This window comes from Homo sapiens, chromosome 1, assembly GCF_000001405.40.
Source record: "Homo sapiens chromosome 1, GRCh38.p14 Primary Assembly".
Lineage (NCBI taxonomy): Eukaryota > Metazoa > Chordata > Mammalia > Primates > Hominidae > Homo > Homo sapiens.
This window is the reverse complement of record NC_000001.11, coordinates 57,186,830-57,209,850: the sequence shown is the minus strand read 5'-3', so window position 1 is coordinate 57,209,850 and position 23,021 is coordinate 57,186,830. Positions and strand designations below refer to the sequence as shown.

The 23,021-nt window shown below is 41.7% G+C and overlaps 1 protein-coding gene across 11 annotated transcripts in view; it reads left to right on the top strand.

Annotated features, from left to right (window-relative positions):
* DAB1 (DAB adaptor protein 1) overlaps positions 1 to 23,021 on the top strand; it is a 1,551,949-nt gene that overhangs the window by 1,336,876 nt on the left and 192,052 nt on the right. The gene's annotated exons all lie outside the window — the stretch shown is intronic.

The window sequence follows — 23,021 nt, the reverse complement described above, 5'->3', positions numbered from 1 at the left end:
ACTGGTGTGTGTGTGAGGGGGAGAGGGAGGATACAAATACTGGGACCAGAGGAGAGAAACAATTGAGAGCCATTGAATTAAACAATAGGGAGAGGGCGAAGTATTATGAACTAGGCATTACACACATTGGTTTCTCTCACTTTGCAGTTGCTGGTTATCCAGTAACAGTAGACAAAGTTCAAGAGCAGATTAAGGTCAAATAAAGCAGCAAAATGTTAGCTGTCAGATCTGTTCAACTCAGTGATGGGAGATGTGAATTATATTACAGGGTGGTCCTCTTACCTTGAAAAACAAAGGTGTGGAGTAGAATTGAAGCTGGCCACCAGGCATCCATCTTTTCTTGTGATTAGGTAAAGGGCATTATTGACAGCAGCAAGCACAACTTATAGTAGAGGAACAGTGTTCACTGGAAGCTTTTATCCCTGCAAATAGCCAGTTTGCAACGTGAAGAACAGACTTCCCCCAATTCATTTAACTGTCTTTGCAGCAGCGGAAGAGCATATTTTTAAGCAGAAAAATCAGTGTGTTTAAAGCATATGGTTTAGGCTTTCCACACTTTGCTATAAACATAGTAGTGTTCATAAATGCTGTTAGAATGAATAAAAACCCAAGCTAGAAACACTCAGTGCAGTAATGCAACTTCCCTGAAGAATCACCATCCCTCATGGCCCTCCCATCCCCTCAGTTTATTCTTCCATCTATTTCTTATTTACTCAATTGCTTGTTCTGTTCAGTAAGCCTCCATCACATATTTACTAAGCCAGGCCCTGTGCCAAGTGATGGACATAGGTGAATCTGACATGCCATCTGCAGCTCACCTTCTCAAGGAGAAACTAGCAGTTGAACTGTATGCCTTGTGTGTCTCCAGCAACACCTTGTGACACAGTGCATTTATCTCTGAAGCTTACAATAGAGTCCAAATTCCTTGTGTCTTGGCCTGAACGCACTGTCTGTAATTCTCAAGGTTTCTGTTTCACAGTCTTGCATAGGTCAAGGTGGCTTTGGAATCTCTGTGGATTTGAATCTCAGTCTTGCCATGTCTTTAGCTCTTAACTTTTCTAGGCCTCAGTTTCCTCATCTACAAAATGGGGATGAAAATTAATAAATAGGTGTATCATGTAAACTGGAGAAAGAAAATGCATTAAAATCACCTGCCACAGTACCTGGCCCTAAAGTCCCTTCAAGGAAGAATGGATTCATTATTTTAAAAAATAACTACTCATCACTTACCATGTGCCAGATACTATTTTAGGTTCTTCAACTACAGAGATGGTTGAGGTACAGATAGTTTTAGTGGAATGCTACATATACGCCTAAGGAGACAGCTGCTGAAGAATAAGGAGGAGTAAGCCAGGTGAGGTGGTCTGAAAGGCTGTTGTTCCTAAGGGAAGAGTGTGATCCATGGTACCTAAACAGGAAACCTCATTTGAAAGGGGAGCAGATGCTCATCCCTCACTGTATCCCTTGGTTCCTGTCATTCCAGTGCTAACTGCTCATAGCTGCATTTCTGAACTGGCTTCCCAAAAACTGAGGAAGGCCACTGCTGATCTGAGCACAGGTCAGACATTTAAGGTTCTTGACATACTTGGGAGCAGCCCTTGACATATGACTCTTAGAAATTAGTGTATAAATACCCCAACTCCCTCACCCTTTGGGGATCAAAAATCTGAGGAGTGTGTTTTATGCTGCTTTTCAGTTTCCTGGCATCTGGCTTAATGATGCACCTTTTATGGTCTACTTTCTCTTTCTTATATCGTTTCCTCACTCCCATGACAGTGTTATTTGCAACTCCCAAATAAATTACTTGCATTACAATCCTTATTTCAGGGCCTGCTTTAGGGCAGCTCAAACTAAGACAGGAAGTATTTCCCCACCTTGGGTTCCAGGAAGGTCACTGTGCCTATTTCAAGGTCTTTGATCTTCATAGACACTTTTTATGTGACCTGACAAGTCAGCCATCAACTTGTTTTGAACTGAGCCTTTATTAAACTTATAAAAATCAAGCCCTTTAAGATATGAATACATAGCCCATCCCAGGACTTGACACCTTGCTGGAAGAAGTTACTATCTAGAGAGGCAGTTGAGTTCTCTTTGAAAGGAAATAAGGTGCCGGGCGCGGTGGCTCACGCCTGTAATCCCAGCACTTTGGGAGGCCGAGGCGGGCGGATCACGAGGTCAGGAGATCAAGACCATCCCGGCTAAAAACGGTGAAACCCCGTCTCTACTAAAAATACAAAAAATTAGCTGGGCGTAGTGGCGGGCGCCTGTAGTCCCAGCTACTTGGGAGGCTGAGGCAGGAGAATGGCGTGAACCCGGGAGGCGGAGCTTGCAGTGAGCCGAGATCCCGCCACTGCACTCCAGCCTGGGCGACAGAGCGAGACTCCATCTCAAAAAAAAAAAAAAAGAAAGGAAATAAGGTATGAATTACAGTAATCTATTCTATCATTTTTATAAATGAACATGAAAGTATTTTCTGCTCTTTCTTTAGGGGAACTCATGAACTGAAGGGTTCAAAGTTTTATCATCTACATTTTCACGATATCTGGAGCAAATGCTATTTGTTAATAATGAAAATGAGTGTGGGCTGGGAGCAGTGTGTCACGCCTGTAATCCCAGCACTTTAGGAGGCTGAGGCGGGTGGATCACTTGAGGTCAGGAGTTCAAGGCCAGCCTGACCAACATGGTGAAACCCTGTCTCTACTAAAAATACAAAAATTAGCCAGGCACAGTGGCACATGCCCATAATCCCAGCTACTCGGGAGGCTGAGGCAGGAGAATCACTTGAACCTGGGAGGCGGAGGTTGCAGTGAGCCGAGACTGCGCCATTACACTCCAGCCTGGGCAACAAGAGCGAAACTCCAAAAAAAAAAAAAAAAAAAAAAGGAAGGAAGGAAAGAAAGAGAAAGAGAAAGAAAGAAGAAAAGAAGAGTTGTGTTTGTCATTTAAGTGTCTGGGATGTGTCACATATCATATACATGGCATAACACTCACACCCTTGTTTTACACATGAGATGAAAAAGGGGCTAAATCAGGGTTTAATTCCAGGTCTTTCTGACTCCAAAACGCCTGTGTCCTTTTCTGTTTCTACATATTGCCTCTTGATGAAGCCCCTTGCTTAGGACTCAGTTCTAGTTTATAGACACTGGCCAGCAAAAGAACCAAAAGGATCTGGATTTTAATATCCAGAAGCAAGAGAAACAGTGTGAAACTCAGACCTAAGCTTCAACTCCGTTTTTGAGCAAAGAGAGAACCATGAGCCCCAAACTGGGGTAAATGGCACCAATTTGTTCAGTAAGAAGAACAAATGGGAAGAGACAGCGAGGAGGCACATGCGACCTGAGATTTTAACTTATGTATAAAAGGGAGGTAAAAAATAAGCCCAGTGGTGTTAGGTCACTGCCTTTTTTAATAGAATCATAGACTGTTTCCATATTACAAATCTTATCAATGAGGTAGTGGGGGCTAGGAATTTGTGTGGAGCTGGAAATAGAACCCAAATCTTTTGACTGCCAAGTGCAGCCCTGTCTGGTAGAGGGAGATACCATCTCCTTTCATGCCACAGGCTGTGGAGGGAGGTTCTCCTTACTAAGCATTCTTCCCTATCCCTCTCCCTCCTTTTCTCCCTGCCTCCCTCCTCTTCTCCTCCAAAGCCTTTCTAACAAGCTCTTAGTTCCCTAAATTGCAGAACAAAGCCAGCTTCCTGCTAACCCCTTTGGAATTCAATTACAGACATACTCAAATGTGTTCCCTGCTCCAGCACCCTCAGCACTAAATAGCATATAAGCACTTTTGCAGGGCTTAATGTATACTTGTTGAAAAATGTACATTATTTTTCATTGACTTTAAATTGGACAAATGCTTATTGAAAAGAATAAAGTGAATTGGTGTTGGAGAGAGCATTAAAAAGAGAGAGAGAAAGAGAAGAGCCAATAAAAACATGTGGTTTCTAAATGTAGATCCACTAATTTCTCTTTGTGGCAGTCATTTGGTCTATATTGTTTGAATGCACTAGGAGACATTGTACATATTAATGAAATTAGGTTTGTTAAGCTTGTTTGCTAGAGATGTAAGCCCTAGTAAAAAAACTTCAACTTTGAGATCTGACAGTCTCAGGTCTGCCACTTACTAGCTGTGTGATCTTGAACAAGGAATTTTGCCTCTTTTGAGCATCAGTTTTCTCTTCTGTAAGACGAGAGAAATAATACCTAGCCTAGTGTGGTTGTTATGAAAATTATATGAGATGATGTATTTATGCATCCTACAAAGTCTCTGACACATAGTAGTTGATGAATCACTCTTAGTTCTATTTTCAAGTAAGTAAAGCTGCTGATCTCATAGCCCATATTTTTATAAAAATGTACTTTCCTCCTTGGTAATTGTGATTCTGCTGTCTTCTGTCTACTTCTTGGGACTCTGGTGCCGAGAACCTTTCTGACCCCTTCCTGCCTGCCCCATGGCTACGCTCAGAGAGTAGAGACTTCGCCTATTTTGTCCACTGCTCTAGACTCACTACCAGGTGCTCAATAAGTATTTGAGGTGTATATGTAAAAGAAAGAATGAATCAGCCAATTACTGCTGGGGTAGGACTTTCAGGAAACCATATGTCCCGAGATGTTTTGGCTTCCAAGGCTCATAGGGACCCTGCCTCTCATTAGATTGGTCTCAGGAATTCTCTCCTTTGTGTTGGGTACAGATGGGCCTCCCCTTTATGCCTTTGATAACAGGAATGCTGCAATAATAAGAGAACAAACAAAGGAGGCCAATGCCTTCAGAGGAGTGCCCTTTTCACTGGAATTCCATTAACACTCTCAAATGGGTGAGCTTGAATTTCCCACAAAACAGCCTTATTTTCCAAAGGTGAGTGGCTCATCTGAGAAATTGTTTCAATCATCTTTTAGCCCTGTGTTGAAAGTTCTTTAAAATTAGTATTGCTATTGGTATTTCAATGGAGGTGGAGGTTGAAGAAGAATTGTCATTTTTCAAAGCCTTCTAGGCCTACAAGTGATCACAAAGAGCTAAAGAATACTTTAGTCAAAGTAAATGGCAATAATAAATAGCACTTCAGCCATAATCACAATTGCTAATTCACCTTATATTTGTTGTTTGCTTATTATGTGAAATACTTTACGTACATTTTAATCTAATCAGCACAATTCCAACGAAGTCTTTATTATGATTTCCCCCATACATATAAGGAAACTGAGGCTCTGGGAAGCTGAGATGACATCCTTTAAGTTCATGCTATTGAATACATGCCCAAGTCAGAAATCAAACCCAGATGATGCCAAATCTAAGTCTTCCTTGATATTTTAGATCCAAACTGAGAGCTAATCTGATAGACCAGCTGATGTCAACTCTTAGAGTTTATCTATACAAGTCCTTTTTTTTTTTTTTTTTTTAAATCTAGACCAGTGTTTTTATTTTGTGTTCTGTGGAATCTTAGGTCTGTGGAGGTGCCTTAGGGTCTGCGTAGGTGTGAGAGATCAGGGAAGAGCCTGAGTAACTGGTTACCATGACCCCCACTCCCATTTCAAAATAACTGTGCTTTTTTTAGATTTGGGGATTTCCAAGTTACGTAAATTGCAGAAGAAAACCAGCTTCCAGATATGATTTCATATGAAATAAAAAATCTGCTGGCATTTTTTAAAGAATACTACTCCAGGCCGGGCACAGTAGCTCACACCTGTAATCCCAGCACTTTGTGAAGCTAAGGTGGGCAGACCACTTGAGGTCAGGAGTTTGAGACCATCCTGGTCAACATGGTGAAACCTCATCTCTACTAAAAATACAAAAATTAGCCAGGAGAGGTGGTGGGCACCTGTAATCCCAGCTACATGGGAGGCTGAGGCAGGAGAATCTCTTGAACCTGGGAGGCAGAGGGTGAAGTGAACCAAGATTGTGCCACTGCACTCCAGCCTGGGCAACATAGTAAGACTCTGTCTCAAACAAAACAAAACAAAACAAACAAAAAACACTACACTAAGAAGAGGTTGAGCCACATCAAAGAGGTCTTAGCTCCTTGTCTAGGCCAGTTGTCCGGAACCGGTACAGTTTGCATAATGTCCTTCAAGCAAATAGGCACCAAGAGACAGAACAGTTGAAAAACACATGAGTATGGGCTTGGATTAGAATAGAGACAATGCAGTCCAGTGCAGAGGTCACAAAAGCAATGAGCACTATCACCAACAAATCACTCATGAACCTGTTCTCCACTTTCAAGCAGGGATGTTACAAGAACCCCCACTGGCCAATTTGTCCACAGTAAGTTTAGCTCAGAGCCTAATCCAGGTGGGCTTTCAGTTGGCTGTCCTTGTCACACATGCCATTTTTGAGAGCAGCAGCATGGATGGGCAGTGTCATGGCAGCTAGTCTGTGGGCCACTGGTTCCCACTCACCAAAACCCCCCTACTTTCTGTCTTGGGCACTGGGTCCCTGCTCTGCTCACCCACTGTGTATTAAGCTCACACTTCACTTTCCTTGTCCCCAAGGAGCTTATGGTTCGGTAGGAAGAAATGGATGTACAAGCAAAAACAAAGCTTAATGGAGAAGCTGAGGAAGCAAAGAAAAATGACAAGTGAGAGGGGACTTGAAGGATTAATGAATTTATCTAGTGGAGAAAGAATGAGGGATCTTTCTGTTAGATTGTCCAAAACTTGGAGGTGTGAAAGATTATGGGGCAATTATCCTGTATGGCTGTGGCTAAGAGAAATGGTGCTGTTTTTTGTGTTCCTCTGTTCCCACTGTTTGCTGTTACTCAATCATCTGTGCTTTATACCCCAATCTGCTGCTGCACATGTCATCTGCCTAACTCAGAATCCAATGAATAGATTTCAACTTAAACCCCCTTTCAGGAGTTACTAACATGCATTTATCTGAAGTGACTGTCTTCCTTTGTTGTACTGGAAATTTTTGGTAAGCTAGAACTGTGCCTATGTGTTAATTACCAGAGAATGAATGAATGATAGAAGACATAGTTGTGAAGAGGGGATAAGTTCAGATATGGTGGCCTTGGTTTTGGACTTCATCCTGAGAGCAACAGGACTCCTCTGAACTTACTAAAGAAGGGAAATTACATGATCTGATTTGTACAGAAAAAAGATAATTGGTACCAGTGTGATAACTTGATTACAGGGTTTCAGGGAGGTTGCAATGAAATAATGGATGGATGTGAAAATGCTTTTCTAAACTGTAAAGTGCTGATCCAAATGGAGGGTATAACTACTACATCTTATTTTTCGAAGCCTACAGTTCAGAATTAGTATTTCAGTGAGTAAATCTTCCCACCTTAACAATTTCTAATTCTAATTCAGCTGGTAATTTAATGGTTAATTCCTCTTTCCATTTTCTCTTATTACAGAGTGAATGCAGGTAAACGGATCTTAGTTACAGACCTGGCCTCTCTTTGCATTTCAATGGGTTCCCAAGTGGAACTGCCAGATTCCAATGTGCTATGAAAATGGGCAGCAGACCAACAAAATCTGTCCTCATCAAAAATTCAGAAAAATAAAATTAAAAATGTAAAGCTGCACATTCAAAGGAATCCAGCCTGACCCCCTTGTATTTTTATGTATGCAAAATGTATTTTTTTGCACCTGCAAGCACAGTCCCTATAAGCCAACTATAGCCTCTCAATTGCCAAGGCTTTTTAAAAAAATCTGCCTTTCAAATTCATCCCAGAAACTCAGTAATGAAACAAGGATGAGGTAGAGGGCTGCCTACAACTATTTATAGGAATATTGGGGGAGATAATTGCTATCTTGTGATTTGTTCTGCAATACCTCTGCTTGGCAGAAATATGTATGCTGCACATCAGAGATTGAAGGGAATCCTTAAAGATGGTGAATTACTTGAACTTCTGATGATGGAAACTTGAATACTTTCCTGTTCCTCCACCTGTTTTTTAAATTACGTAGTCTGTGTAAGATGCTATAGAAATTTAAAATTCATGCATACATGCATGCATGCATGCATTTATTCATTCATCCTTCATCTAAAATCTTGTAGAATTAAACCTGCTATGTTTCAGGCTCTGTGCTAGGCTCTGGAGGGACCACAGAACTGATCCCTGTTCTCCAGATCTTCCAGTTGAATATGAAAGACATCCAGCTAATGATTATTAAAATAATTAATTACAATTATAAGAGCTTTGGGAGAAAATACTATGTTCCACTAGAACGGAAGCTCCTTGAGGGCAGGTTTTTGTCTGTTTTGTTCCTGCTGAATCCACAGTTGTTAGAACAATCTTGGCGTGTGTTTTTGCATGAATTTTGAAACATAGGGTACACATCAAATCGTAAATAGGGCCCTCACATAATTGGTGAAGTCTAGAAAAGTGGACTTCCCCAGGGAAGTGATATTTAAGCTGAGACTAGGAATAAATTGGTTAAGGGTGGGCATGGTAAGTGGCAGGGATAAAGAAACTGTGCCCTCAGACACCGAGAGAAGGCTGGGGTCCTGAAGAAGTGTGTCCTGGGTCTTAAAGGACTGGTTCCTGGGAAGGATTTGGATGTTGATGGATGCCTTCATTCAATAAAGGCTGTAGACACACTTAAGTTTCAGAAGAGCATAGTAGTGCAGGATTTTTTTTTTCTGTTATACCAATGAATGAATGAATGCTTGCTTGCTGCCTACTATGTGCCAGGAAGAAAGGGGGTGTCATTGATAAAGCCACAAAAACCCTATAGCAAGGTGGTCTCATTTAGTGGCTTTGCAGAAGCAGCAATGGCTCCTGAAGACACAGACCTTGCTATCACTTAGCTGTGTGGCCCTGAGAGAATCACCTAAGCTCTCTGAATTAAATGTATGTAATGCATCAAGCCCAATGGTTCTCTCACAGTGAATGCTGCCTCAATTCTCTCATCTGCATTTATTCCTTCAACAAACATTTGCATGCCTAGTAGACCTGCCTCTAGGCTAAGTAATAAGGACCCTGTAATGAATTGAGATGCTAAGAAAAACTACTTGCCTCATCTCCTCACTTCAGGTAGCTTCTTTTGATGATCAAATAATAATTTTGCATGAAATTGTTTTGTAAATTGGAAAGTACTTTATTAACATGAGTTGTTTTTAACTCTATAAACTTGCCAATTTATTGATCCTCATCTTCAGGCATTTACTTGCAAAATTACAAGTGAAATCACTGTGGGGCTGGTCAAATAAAGCTATAAAAGTTTTAGTAGCACTTATTTGCATTCTTATTATTAAGTTCCAGGCACTATCCTAAGGGCTTTACGTACATTAACTCATTTAGACCTCACCACACTCCTATGAGGAAACTGACACCCAGAAAGATTAAAACACTCACCCCAAGTTGTAGAATGGGAAGCAGCAGGTTCAGATTTGAACCCTGGCTCTCTGCCTCCACACTACATGCTCGTAACCACTATACTACATAACACATAGCACCAAGACTGGATTTTTATTTCTTTGTGAACTTAATCATTGCTTGCTACCCTACTTTCCCTCTCACAGACTAAATTGCATGTTTCATGCAAGAGAATTGAGACCATGTTGATTTTACCCATCATGCCTAGAATAGTGCCTGGCACATAATATGTGCTCAGTAAATCAATGTTGAGTGAATGCTTTCTGGCAGCTTAAGGACACTAATAGATGCAACCAGACTGTCTTCAGGCTAAAGGGAAACAGAACCATATCTCTGAAAAGGCTTAAGATGGTAAGGGAGAGACAGGAGTATAGTCACCAGTAATTTCAGACCAGTGAGGGGACAGTATACAGAAAGAGGTAAAGTTCCCTGCCTAAATTCATTCTGATGATCTAGTTTGAAATAAGGACTTGATTAAATGGAATAGTGGTTTCAGTCACCTAGTTCTCTGAGGCCATGACATTGATAGTGATGACCTTTGAGAGACTGGGATTCCTTGGTCCCATGCTCATGTACTGCAGCTTGTGCAGCTTGGACTCATTTGGCCCGTCCATAGGCTGAACTTCTTAGGACTGCTTGGTACCAGACTGTATACTTTCCAAGTGCATTTGTGTTACTTACTCCTTAAAACCATCCTGTTAAGTCCTGATCACTCTCCTCATTTAACAGCCAAGGAAACTTGGACTCAGAGAGGTGAGAATGATTGACTCAAGGTCACAGAGCTGGTCATGGGGTTGCAGTTGGGCCTCGGACTTCTGACTTCAACGCCCATCATCTTGACTTTTCATGCTGCTGAATCTTTGGTAGTAACAGTTTTATTCCCCAAACATCTTCATTTCCCTGCAGATGATCCGTGATTTCCCTGTAGTCAGAATTGTTCTTGTACCAGAAGATTTAGAAGAAATGACCCGTGCATAGCCCGCGGTCTTCTTCCTTACTCACAGTTGACATGGCTATGGTTACATTTCCCCCAGTGTGATAGTTTTCCATCAGAAGACAAGCCAGCTGCCACCTCCCAACAAGCCCTTTAAGTAAAGGTGACAAAACACTGCTTCTCTCCAGGTGTTTGCACCTCTCTCTGGGACAGGCCCTATGTGGCCTGTGCCTCTGGAAGAGGCAGTCCTGCTGCCCTTGCTGAAGTCTCTGTGTGGGTTTTTTAAGGTAAACACTAGTTGATCTTCCTTTTTAAAATAAATTATTAATTAGAAATTTTACTTTAATAAGAGAAGTTATTAAAAGCTGCAGGAACCCTATTCTTTTAATTCAATTTCCAAGTGGACTCCTTAACAAGGTAACAAAGACACTCACCAGAGCCTTCAGTGTGTGGAGTGGATGTGGAGTCACATGCTGTGACGTGAGTCTTTTCCCTTCCCCCAGCCTCAGGTTCCTGTTGGAAAAATTTTAGTCTCTCCTCTATGCAGTTCCCAGAGGTTTTTTCTTTAAAACCACGTTCACAAGACCAGTGGCCTGGGGGTGCCCATGGTGCATATCTCTGATTGCAAGCTGCTGACCTTCACAGGCAAGACCTTGACCTTGGGATCTAGGCCCCAACTTATGCTCTTGTCCTATTCCACACTCAACACACTCAGTGCCCCACACTTCCTTCCATTTTCCTAATGTGCTATGCTTTTTCACCTCCCGTGTCCTCTTCCTGTCTTGTCTTTCCTTTTTCTCTCCTTTGAAACACCTAATCACCTCCTCTCCTCCTCCAGAGTCCAGCTTACACGTCACTTCCTCTGGAAACCTTTTTTTACTCTCCCAGGAAAAGTTGATGGGTGTGTGTGTGTGTGTGTGTGTGTGTGTGTGTGTGTGTGTGAGAGAGAGAAGATGCAGGGAGGGAGGGAGGAAGAGAGAGAGTTAAGCCAGGATATGGATGGAGGTGGGGGGCATTCCAGGTAGAGAGAACAGCAAATGCAAAGGGAAAAGGTTTGGTGATTGAGGGATTGAGAGAAGGCCAGTGTTCTTGGAATATAGTGAGAGTGGTGAAAGATGAGTCTCTAGACTTAGGGCCCTGGGGCTTGGGGCAGGGGGATGCCCAGCATTCTGACTTTTATTCTAAATATTGTAGGAAGATTTTGAGAGGCTTCATTACATTCTATTTAATTCTCCTGCTCTAGGACTATGTTTCTCTTCCCTGCTACACTGTGAACTCCTTGATGGCAGCACCATTCCTTTAAGCCTGCATGCCTTACTCTGTCACAGCGTGGGTGATTTCTAAATGTACAGTTCATAGACACTAGGAAGGGAGGGAGGGAGATGTTAATGAGTTGGTTTTATTTTCAAACCCAAGCCTGCTAGAAGTTGCTTATAACCCTTCTCATTTTTTCCAGTTCGTATTTTAATATCCTTCCACCTTATTGGAGGTTTGGCAGACAGAGTTTATGGAAGAAGCATATTTTCATATATTGTAGTTTATGTTTATTATATGTATATATTCTCATTATTTTATGTGCAAAGAGGGTTTCTTATGTGGTACTCTTTAGGGAGATAATATGCAAAGAGATCTTCTATTTCATTTTTACTAACACTACTGCAGTTTGCTAAATCATCACCATCAAACCATACTTTAATTTAATCTACTTTATTGCCTTCCAAAGCATTTCCTATGAGCAAGATTACATTCCCTGGGTTTTAAAAATAACTGACTCTAAAACATGCAAGTGAAATTAAACAAATGTTTTGTCTTCTTCAACCTTTTTGTGTCTTTGTGTCTGTCTGCCATGTGTGAATAATGGAACTTACTGACTTGGGGTGAGGAGAAGAAGAACATATTCAAAGGGGATGTAAAACCATGTGCTCTCCTGAGTAGTCCGTGGATTTGGAATTAGATGAATCTGGCACTAAAATCTGGCTCTACTGCTATTTAGCTGCGAGACCTTGGGCAAATTACTTAATATTTCAAAGCTTCGGTTTCTTCATTTGTAAGATGAGAATAATTGTACCTAGTTCATGTTGTGGCTTTAATGTCAGTTTTTAAAAAGAAAATATATAAAGTGCTTCACGAAGTTCTAGTACATAGCAGGAGCTAAATAAACAACAGCTGTTGTTCATAGTTAAAATGCTGCATTTCATCATGTGGTTTCGGTCAAGTTTTTGAACTTTCTTTCTTTTTTTTTTTTTTTGAGATGAAGTCTCTCTCTGTCACCTAGACTGGAGTGCAGTGGCACTATTTTGCCTTATAGCAACCTCTACCTCCTGGGTTCAAGCGATTCTTGTGCCTCAACCTCCTGAGTAACTGGGATTACAGACACGTGCCACCATGCCTGGCTAATTTTTGTGTTTTTGTTTTTTTAGTAGAGATGGGGTTTCACCATGTTGGCCAGGCTGGTCTTGAACTCCTGACCTCAAGTGATCTGCCCGCCTCAGCCTCCCAAAGTGTTGGGATTACAGGCGTTAGCCACGGCGCCTGGCCAAGTTATCGAACTTTCTGTGCCTCTGTATCCTCATCTCTAAAGTGGGAATTTTGATGGCAATCTGCCTAATAGGTTTGCTGTGTGGATCAAATGGACCCACAAAGTGCTTAGGAAGTACCTGATGTATGGTAAATCTTCAGGAAACATTGACCTCTATTATTACTAATCTCAGTTATTATCATGTATAGTTGTCCCTTGCTTTCAAACGCCAATTAAAAGTGAATTTTCAAACTACATAAAGGTTAAGTTTTGAATTGCACAAGCAAAAAGGACTGTATTGGCATCACTGATTCTTCACTTATTATCGTATACCTCCAAGTGATAAATATTTTTAATTTCTGATTTATGTTAACAATTGACTTTGCTGTGGCAACTGTAATATTCTGGAGTCTCCATTGCCACTTAGTGTGGTTGACCCCTTTGAAAGGTGCACAGTGACTCAAGTGACAAAAATTACCTTAATTAAACAGGATTGCCTACACCCGTGTTGGGCTAAGACCAAGAATTATTAAAGCCCTTTCTTTAGCCAAAGCCTATTATGCTGTCTGGGACTTCAATAAATGGTCAAATCATGTTTGCTAATCTTCCTGGTTTGCCAGGAGCCCACCTGCCTCCCACACTCACTGCCAGGTCATCTCCTGCTACATGATGGACAAGGAAAGAAAAGAGAGATTTGCCAAGAAAGTGCCTTGGCAGCCTCATGTCCAGCTCTAGGTATTGTACTATGGTGAGGATGGCTACACTGAGCTAACGTAGATAAAACTGGCTCCACCTTCAACAGAGAGTACTTGCTCATGTGCCAGAAATCCTTTCTTAAAAACAGCTTTATGCAGGTAAAATTGATAAGCAATGAATTGTACATATTTAAAGTCTACATTTTGAGACATCCTAACTCAAATTTATGTGTATACCTATCAAACCATTACCACAATCAAGGTTACAAAACATCCATCACTTCCAAAACATTCCTTGGCCCTTCTTCATCCCACTCTCCCACCCCTTCCTCCTACTCCCCATCACCACCCCATCCTCACAGCACTGACTGCTTTCTGTTGCTTTACATGTTTTCATTCTCCACAATTTATCTATAAATTCATACATGTACTATTTTTTCTCTGGCTTATTTGAGTTTGCATAATTATCTTTTTAAGGAAAATTTGAAGCCACACTGCCTACCTACAAAGCTGGGCACTTAGACTACTTCTAGTAATAGCCACCAATTGTCAAGTTGGTGAGCTACTTACAGGGATTCCATGAATGCATCTCTTTAAATTTGCACAACAATTCTCTTCTTTAATGCCATTTCATGGCCCAGGAAACTGAAGCTGAGGCATAGTGGCCCAAAGTCACACAATTAGGAGATGCTTTAATGAAGGCTGGTCTGACTTAGAGCATGTGTTCTTCCCACCTGGCTAGTGTCTGGAAGCAATTTAGGATCCGGTTAGGAGCCTGACTGATTTTAGAGAGAACTGGGTTCAGCCCTCAGCTGCAGCATCTCAGTAATGAGAGCTTGCACAAGCTACTTAACTGTTTTCCAGCTTAGCTTTCCTCACTGTAAAATGGGAATATGATGGGAAAAGGCCAGCATATTCTTAAAATAAATAAGAGAGTGTATTTAAATGCTCAGCCTTGTATATCTGAAGTATTCCATGAAAGTTATGTATCTTTATTGTTAAAGTAATTTGGTTCCTCAAATATATGTTAAGTGAAGGCAGAAAATGTCCTCTTTAGTATTGAACAGACTCCCTTGTATTAAGGAGGGTGAAAGCAACAGAAAGAGGACAGGAAATCATGTTGAACCTTATATTGCTGTGTTAGCCCAGTGGATCATTGCCTGACTTCTACTAGATTCCATAAACGTTTGATGAATACATGATGGATGGATGAAGGAATAAGAGTGCTATGTCAGCAGTAGCACCAGCATGATTCAGAGAGATAGGGAAGCCCAAATCAGGCAAGAGTATATTATGCTCACACATCCTATTGAAGGTAGAACTTGGAAACTCATTTTCCATTCATTAATCATTTTCTGTCCATTTCCCTAAGACCCAAGACCCAAAGTTATTACACTTTCCGCTGTTACTAGTTAGCATATATAAAATGGGCATGTGGATGAGAATGAGCCTCTTGTCCCTCCATCTGTCTATAAACAAAGCCTCAGGATGCTGTGTTGGTTGCATTCTCGTGTCTGATTGCTGTGGCCAGCAATGGCTGTGGCTGTGTTTCATGCTTTCCTGAGTACTGATTGGAGATGCGCTTTGAGGACTGGCTGGAAATGTGCTTCTCCATGCCTCCCATGGAACCAGGTTGTCTGCATGGCACACAACTGTCACTAGCACTCAGGCTAGTGGGTTTCAGATGGTAGGAGAATTTTAATTTGTCACTGAGAGTTGGGGATGTGCAAAGGCGGCTAGCTGAGTGAAAGAATTTTATACACCTCAGGTGTTAATGGATTTTGTTTCTTAACCAAGACTCAGAAAGGGAAAGGGCTTTTCCACGTGATATAGTATGTTGGAGGAAGAACTTTATCTGGCCCACTTGTTGTGGGACTGCTCTTTTCTTTTGCAGCAATCATCAAACTCTTTTATTTTATCACTGTCTTTGAAGCATCAGGAAAAGCATCTAATATTAAAGTATTTAGGACTTACTGAGTGCTTACCACGTGCCAAGGGCTGTTCTCAGCACCTTACGTGAAATCACTCAGGCCTCACTAAACAGGAACATCCATTAAAAAGACAGACAGACTTGTCCCAAACTCAGGTGCGTGGCCAGCTCTGAGAAGCATTTCCACATTTGTTGGCAGACAAGTGCAAAGGGAAGATAAAAGAAAAAAACACAATAGAAAACAGCCGTAATGGTCAGTTACTCTGGGTGTGGGGTTCAGCAATCTCTTCTTTAACAAGCCCTCCAGATGATTCTAATGCACACTCAAGTTTGAGAACCACTGCTCCAAAGTAACCTCCCTGTGGGCCCTGCTCTTGTTCCCAGATATTGAGCTAGGACAAACATTGATTTGAACACTGTCTCAGGTGCCCAGCACTGCCCCATAACACCAAATTCTGTTCAGTCCTTCCTATCACAGGATAACCCTGTGAACTAAGAATCACTGTTATACCCATTTTGCAGATAAGGAAATGGAGGTATAGACAGGTTAAGTAACTTGGCTAAGGCCATATCACTAATAACTGCTGGATCCAGGATTTGAACCAGAGTCTGGCTTAAGTGACCACGTTCTTATGCTATGCTGTGGTGTTTCTCATTCTAATGGAATTTGTTTGTGAAAACTCATTAATTACCTAATTAGTTAAAAGTGGAAATTTGGAAATATTTCTAAAAACCAATAGAAAAAGTTGATTGGTGCTTTAAAAAATACATATGCATGGCTCAAGCCTACAATGCCAGCACTTTGGAAGCCGACGCAGGCGGATCACGAGGTCAGGAGATCGAGACCATCCTGGCTAACATGGTGAAACCCCGTCTCTACTAAAAGTACAAAAAATTAGCTGGGCATAGTGGCGGGCGCCTGCAGTCCCAGCTACTCGGGAGGCTGAGGCAGGAGAATGGCGTGAACCCGGGAGGTGGAGCTTGTAGTGAGCCGAGATCGCGCCACTGCACTCCAGCCTGGGTGACAGAGCGAGACTCTGTCTCAAAAAAAAAAAAAAAAAAAAAAACATATGCTACGGATGAATCTGGAAGGCATTACGTAAGTGAAATAAGCCAGGCAGAAAAAGACCAGTACTGTATGAGTCCACTGATATGTGGGATCTAAAGAAGTCAAACTCATAGAGGCAGAGAGCAGAGTGGTGGTTACCAGGGACCGGGTGGGGTGGGTGGTGGAGAGGGTTGGGGAGATGTTGGTCAAGGGCACAGAATTTCAGTTAGACAGGAGGAAGAAGTTCAGGACATCTCTTTTACAACATGGTGACTGTAGTTAATAACACTGTGTTCTTGGAAATTGCCAAGAGTAGAGTTTAAGTGTTCTTGCCACACACACAAAAAGATAAACACAAGAGGTAATACGTATGTTGTTTAGCTTGATTTAGCCATTCCACAATGTATACATATTTCAAAACATCATGTTGTACACTGTAAATATATATAACTTTGATCTGTCAATTAAAATGAATTTTAAAAAATTAAAAAAGAAATGTTCTAGAATTAGATTGCAATGGTGGTTGTACAACCTTATGAGTATACTAAGAAACACTGAATTGCACACTTTAAAATGATGAATTTCATGATATGTGATTTAAAACCTCAATTAAAAAAATACACATAATAATGAAATTCTGTGATTTTTATCAAGGCAGGGCTGACCTGCCCACCTGCATGTCATCGATGTTGCTGTGCCTCTTGCTGGAAGAGGATAGGAAGGTACCCAGTGAAAGGCTGCCATGGTGCAGGTAGAGAACACAGAAGGGAGATTGCAGTACTATAATAAGAAAGAAAAATGGCCAAATCAGAGTAAGGATGTTGCTGATGGTGATGGTGATGGTTATGGTAACAGCAGTTCACCCTTGACTGAACCCTTACAGTGCTCCTTTCACTGTTCTCAATGCTTTCCTTGTGTTAACTCAATTAATCCACTTTCATGGATGAGTAACCTGAGGCCTAGGAAGGTTGAGTCATTTACCCAAAGGCATACATCTAGTAAGTGGAAGGGCTGGGATTTGTATAGATGCAGTGCTCATATTTTAGCCCCATCACTCTTTTTTTTTTTTTTTCCGCTTTTGAGATGGAGTCTCACTTGCTCTGTCACCCGGGCTGGAGTGTAGTGCTGCTCTCTCAGCTCACTGCAGCCTCTGCCTTGTGGATTCAAGTGATTCTCCTGACTCAGCCTCCCAAGTACCTGGGACTACAGGTGCCCACCAGAATGCCTGGCTGTTTTTTGTATTTTTAGTAGAGACAGAGTTTTACCATGTTGGCAAGGCTAGTCTCAAACTCCTGACCTCAAGTGATCTGCCTGCCTCGGCTTCCCAAAGTGCTGGGGTTAAGGTGTGAGCCATCGTGCCCAGCCTTAGCCACACTACTCTTAACCACTGTGCTGCTTGTGTGACCCTAAGAGCAGCGATTATATTTGTGGTATTAGCTCGTGCCATGCTGCTGTTATTACGGTATGGCCCTCTGTTCAATTTCACATCCATCCTATTCTTATCTTTCTCAACCCTGGGAGATGAATAGGGGTAGGTATTATCATCTACATACTGTGATTAGGATTTTGGGACTCAGGGACCCAGGAAGAGTGAGTCACTACCCCATGAGGATCAAAAGTCTGTCTCCCTACTCCATACCAGTCAGTGGTCCAGACACCATGGTATATGATAAGCTTTTCCAGGTGTGCTCCAACGTTTTGTTCAAGATGGAAAATTAATTTTCTACCCTGAGGCACCACTGTTTTTGGAGGTGTCTGTGGCACAGAACTTTGAGTACAGCCCATTGAAGGATGAGTTGTAGAACACTGTTAAACTTTCTATTTGCAAGGAGGGAAAGGGGAGCGGGGATATAGTTGAGCCATCAACAGAGGAGGAGAACATGGTCTTGGAGCTTTGCTTTGACAGAATCTAAGAGGCCATAGTCATGGTGGTCCTCAAGAAATGAGACAGTGGTAAAGGGAAGGCTGGTGATCAGCAAGACCCAATATAGACTGTGTTTGGGTGTAATTATTGCTGATTTGTTTTGAGTGGTTAAGTCCATTGAAATATCCCCTACAAATTCTACCCTCTGAAAATGTGTCACATGCACCCTACTGTGAGGCCTCTCAGGTGTGGGCGTCTCCATATCTCAGAGGAAGAAACTTTGGCCAGGAGGATAATAACTTGAAGAAATACAAATCACAAAGTAGAGAAGCCAGGATGAAGTCCCTAATGAAGAACACCTATTTGCAAGTTCCTCTCTCATTAGCTTGTATTTACCATCACTCATGATTCACAGTACTTTTTATTGTTATGTCAGCAAACAACTCACCAGATAGATACGTGTGCACCATTTCACTTTATGCTGTCATGAATCCTGTGAGGCAGTATAGCTGACATTAATAGCTGGGTTTTTCAGGTAAAGAGACTAAAATTCAGGTAAGTTATGGGACTTTACCTCTGGCAAATAAGTACTTATCTATGGACTTGAAATCTCATCTTTAGATCAGAAGTCCTTTGTACCAAAACCACTTGTAAGTCTGAAGTATTCCTAAATCTGCACTTTAGAGGATTAAATTACTGGAGCCCCTCGGTCAACAGTGTAGCTCATCACCTGTCGAGAACCCCAGCAGAGTCCAACTCTGAGTGCATGGAGTTGCCTCTTGGTACTGCCTTTGGGATGATCTCTGAGTGGTGGTGGTGGTGCGGGGGATGCTGCATTCCTCTGTGCATTTCATCTTAGATGCATTTGATGTGGGCAATAAAGACGTGTGGAAGTGGTTGACTTTTGCATACTGGGGAAAGGTGGGAATAGGCATTTTCCTGAAGACAGAGTAGACTCTGGAGACAGCAGATCTTCCTGATATTCACCTGAACAGGCTGGAGCTTTGTCTTGAGAAGAAGGTGGTCTTAAAGTCTTGAAAACCTGGATTCTGATCCTGGCTCTATCTCTCCCCAGCTATGTTCATCATGACCAGGTCACTTCACCTTTCTGGACCTCAGTTTTCTCATACACAGAATAGGGTTTATAAAGCCTGCTTTCACGTTTATTAGGAGGATTGAATGAGACCACCTTTATAAGGTGCCAACACTTGGCATATGTTGGTTACAGCTGATGCTGGCTTCTTCCCTACTTGCCTTTCCTGTGAACTCTCTTTTCTAAGGCAGTGCTCTCAAAGTATGGTCCCCAGACCAGCAGAACAGCCTTACGTGGAAACTGATTAGAAACTCAAATTCTGAAGTCCCCACCCCATACCTACTGAATAAAGAACTCTGGGTGTGGGGTTCAGCAATCTCTTCCTTAACAAGCCCTCCAGGTGATTCTAATGCACACTCAGGTTTGAGAACCACTACTCTAAAGTAACCTCCCTTTGGGCCCTGCTCTTGTTCCCAGATATTGAGCTGGGACAAACATTGATTTGAACACTGTGCCTCAGGTGCCCAGCACTGCCCCATAACACCAAATTCTGTTCAGTCCTAGCATCAGCTGCTGTACACTCTCAGGTATTCTGCAGGAGCTCTTGGGCCATGACAGACCCTTATGGTTGTTTTCTGTTGTGTTTTTTTTTTTTTTTCCCCTTCCCTTTGCAATTGTCTGCCAACAAATGTTGGCTTCTCAGAGCTGGCCATGTACCCGAGTTTGGGGCAAGCCTGCCTGTCTTTTTAATGGATGCTCCTGTTTACCTCCTTGGAAGGCCTGTGACCATCCATCCTGTCCTCTCTCCAGATGGTTGGTCCATAGGCCTAACCATCACCAGTAACAATGTGCTGGCAACTTTGTATCTCTAGGCTTGACATTGTGACCTGCCTGCCCTTTTACTGTCAGAGATGACAGGGGGCTCAGGAAAGCAGGTGGTAAGGGCTTGGGATAATCTATTAGGGTTAGTGATTCCTGCAAAACCATTTGCTCCAGACGAGAAATTTCCTACAAATAACTCTCTGTCTCAGCAAGCCAGGGTCTGTTATCCACTAATTATTTTTGGATTAGGGAGGGCTAACACGACTTGGCCTTGGAAGGTCAGAATAATTTAAGTAGATAACTAGGTTGCTACCTTCCCTGGGGGAAAGAAGGATCTCTAAGACCAAGGTTTCAGCAACTTTGATTGAAAGGAAACCATGTACTTTGGTTTCTCTGATAAATGTTGATAAAAGACTACATTGATACGATTTTCCAAATGTCAGCTATTATATCTTGTGGTGAAACCACTTGGATGGAGCTCCTGTAACATCAGCCGTTAAGTTATTATGGTGGAAAATCAGATTGCAAGGGGTAGGAAAAGAGGAAAGAAGAGGAAAGAGAAGGAGGTTATTTTGATCATGGAGACAAGAGGTAGCAAGGGTGTTGACTAAGGCAATGTCAAGTGGAGTCCAACAGGCCTGAATTGGAATTTCTACTCCCCACCCTTACCCCTCCTCCAAGCTATGAGACCTTAGGCAAATGACCGAACTTTTTTTTGAGATTCTGTTGCTGATTTCTCAACTGAGGGAAAATAACTCTGCCTATGGCATCATTATAAAGATTAAGTGAGAAAATTTTTTAAGATGATCTATTTTAGTAACGTGCCTGGTACACAGTAAAGATGCAACAAATTTTAGCTCTAACTATTGAAGTAGTATAGTGAGTTAATGTGGAAAGCATAGCAAAGAATCAAGTCAGGACCAAGACCCAGGTTTCTTTCTCAAGTCACTGATTAATGGAACAATTTTTGGTAATGAATAAAACAAAATGGGAGAAAACCTCAAGACCAGAAAGTGGCAAAGAGCAGTGTTGTAGATATGCTGGGAAAGCATTGGGACTTTGACTATTTTTCTGAAGATCACAGATACACACACCATATCATCTTTGATGACAGTAACAGATAAATGAGATGTGAGAATATCCCAGTGACAGCTCTTGTTTTCTCTGGGTCATTTTGAAACACTCTGCAATTAGCTGAGAGCCAAATTCTGGTCTTGCTTATTTTCATTAGGTCTCACTATATTTTCTCAGGATACTTTATTCCTCCCATTGAGCCATTTAATTTTTTTTTCCTGCCTTTTTCTGTCGATTACTCACACTGAACCACTATCACATGTCATGATGACTCAAGATGAAAATTTCCAATTCCAAGTAGAAATAGTCAATTCTTTAAAGTGGATAGGTGATCTAAATTAATTGTGAGGTGAGTTATCAATGGGACAACTTGCCTGGAGAAGCCTCAGCACTCTAATCAGGCACGGTGCAGGGGTATCCTTCAGAAAGGCCTTGGTAGAAACTGTTTCATTAATCAGTGACTCGAGAAAGAAACCTGGGCCCTTGTCCTAGACTTTATTCTTTGCTATGCCTGCCACATTAACTCACTACACTACTTCAGTAAGTTAGAGCTAGCATTTGTTGCATCTTTCCTATGTTCCAGGCACTTTACTAGTGCCTGCCTGCATGAGCAGCGGGGAGGGGATTGCTGCATCCAAAGAGGACCTCTCTCTCCTTGTGGGGTGTCTGTCTGTCTCTCTTTCTCCTCTCCTCCCTCCTTGCGGGGTCTCTCTCTCCTTGTGGGTCTTTGTGGGGGATCTCTCTTTTTGTGGGAGTCTCTCTCTCTCTCTCTCTTTCAGTGACTCAATCAGCGCTGAGACAAACTGGGATTAGCTGAATGGTTGAGAACTTACCTGCATACAAAATACTTTGAGTAGAATCCCAGCTTCACGATTTATGACACAAGTCGTTGTTGGCAAGTTTCTTAACCTCTTTTTAGCCCCAGTTTTAAAGTGTAGATAAGAACATTTATATAAAAGTGTCATGTATTTTCAAATTCTTACCTTGGAAACGTCAAAGAACAAGATAGCAAATGCAGGAGGACTTTGTCAGCCCCAAGGGAAGTGCAGTGTCAGAGCAGTAGCCACCTGCCCCAGATTTTTAGGCAGTTCTGTATTCATTTACCTATTCCAGGAGCCCATAGCACATTTACATCTTTGGTATATACACTTTCCAGAATCATACGCAAATTGCTGTGTAGACTGTGGTACTTTATAGTAAGATACTGTGCTTTTTTATACTGTACCTTGTTACATAGATGATGTGAGGAGATTTATAAAGATGTCTACATAATAAGGAATGTTGTTAGATAACTCAGATGGAAGCAAGGAAATAGGTAATAGAAAAAATCATGCAATGAGATCCTATTGGTTGTTTGGTGTGAGTTACAGATTTGGATCCGAGCTTCCTAGTGGTCAAAGGAAAAAAAGACAACAACACATTTTTAAGATTCAAGGTGTTTATAAAAAACAAATTGGCCTAGGGAATCACAGAAGGTATGTACTTCATTTGAAGTATGTGTGTGTTTTAGAATTTTATGTGCAATATGAAGTTTTAGTACTACTTTAAAAAGCAGAAACTTTACCTCCTGGTATCTTTTAGATCCCATCTTTTTGGGGGGACAATAACCATAAAAAATTGACAGTCCAGTCAATTGACAAAATAGAAATGACAAAAATTGACAAAATAGAAATGAATTAGCCTGGAGCTGAGCTTCTAGGAATTTTCAAGACCTCCCCAGTTGCCAGTCTGTTATTCAGTTACAGAGCATAATTATTCCTTAAGAAATTGACACAGAA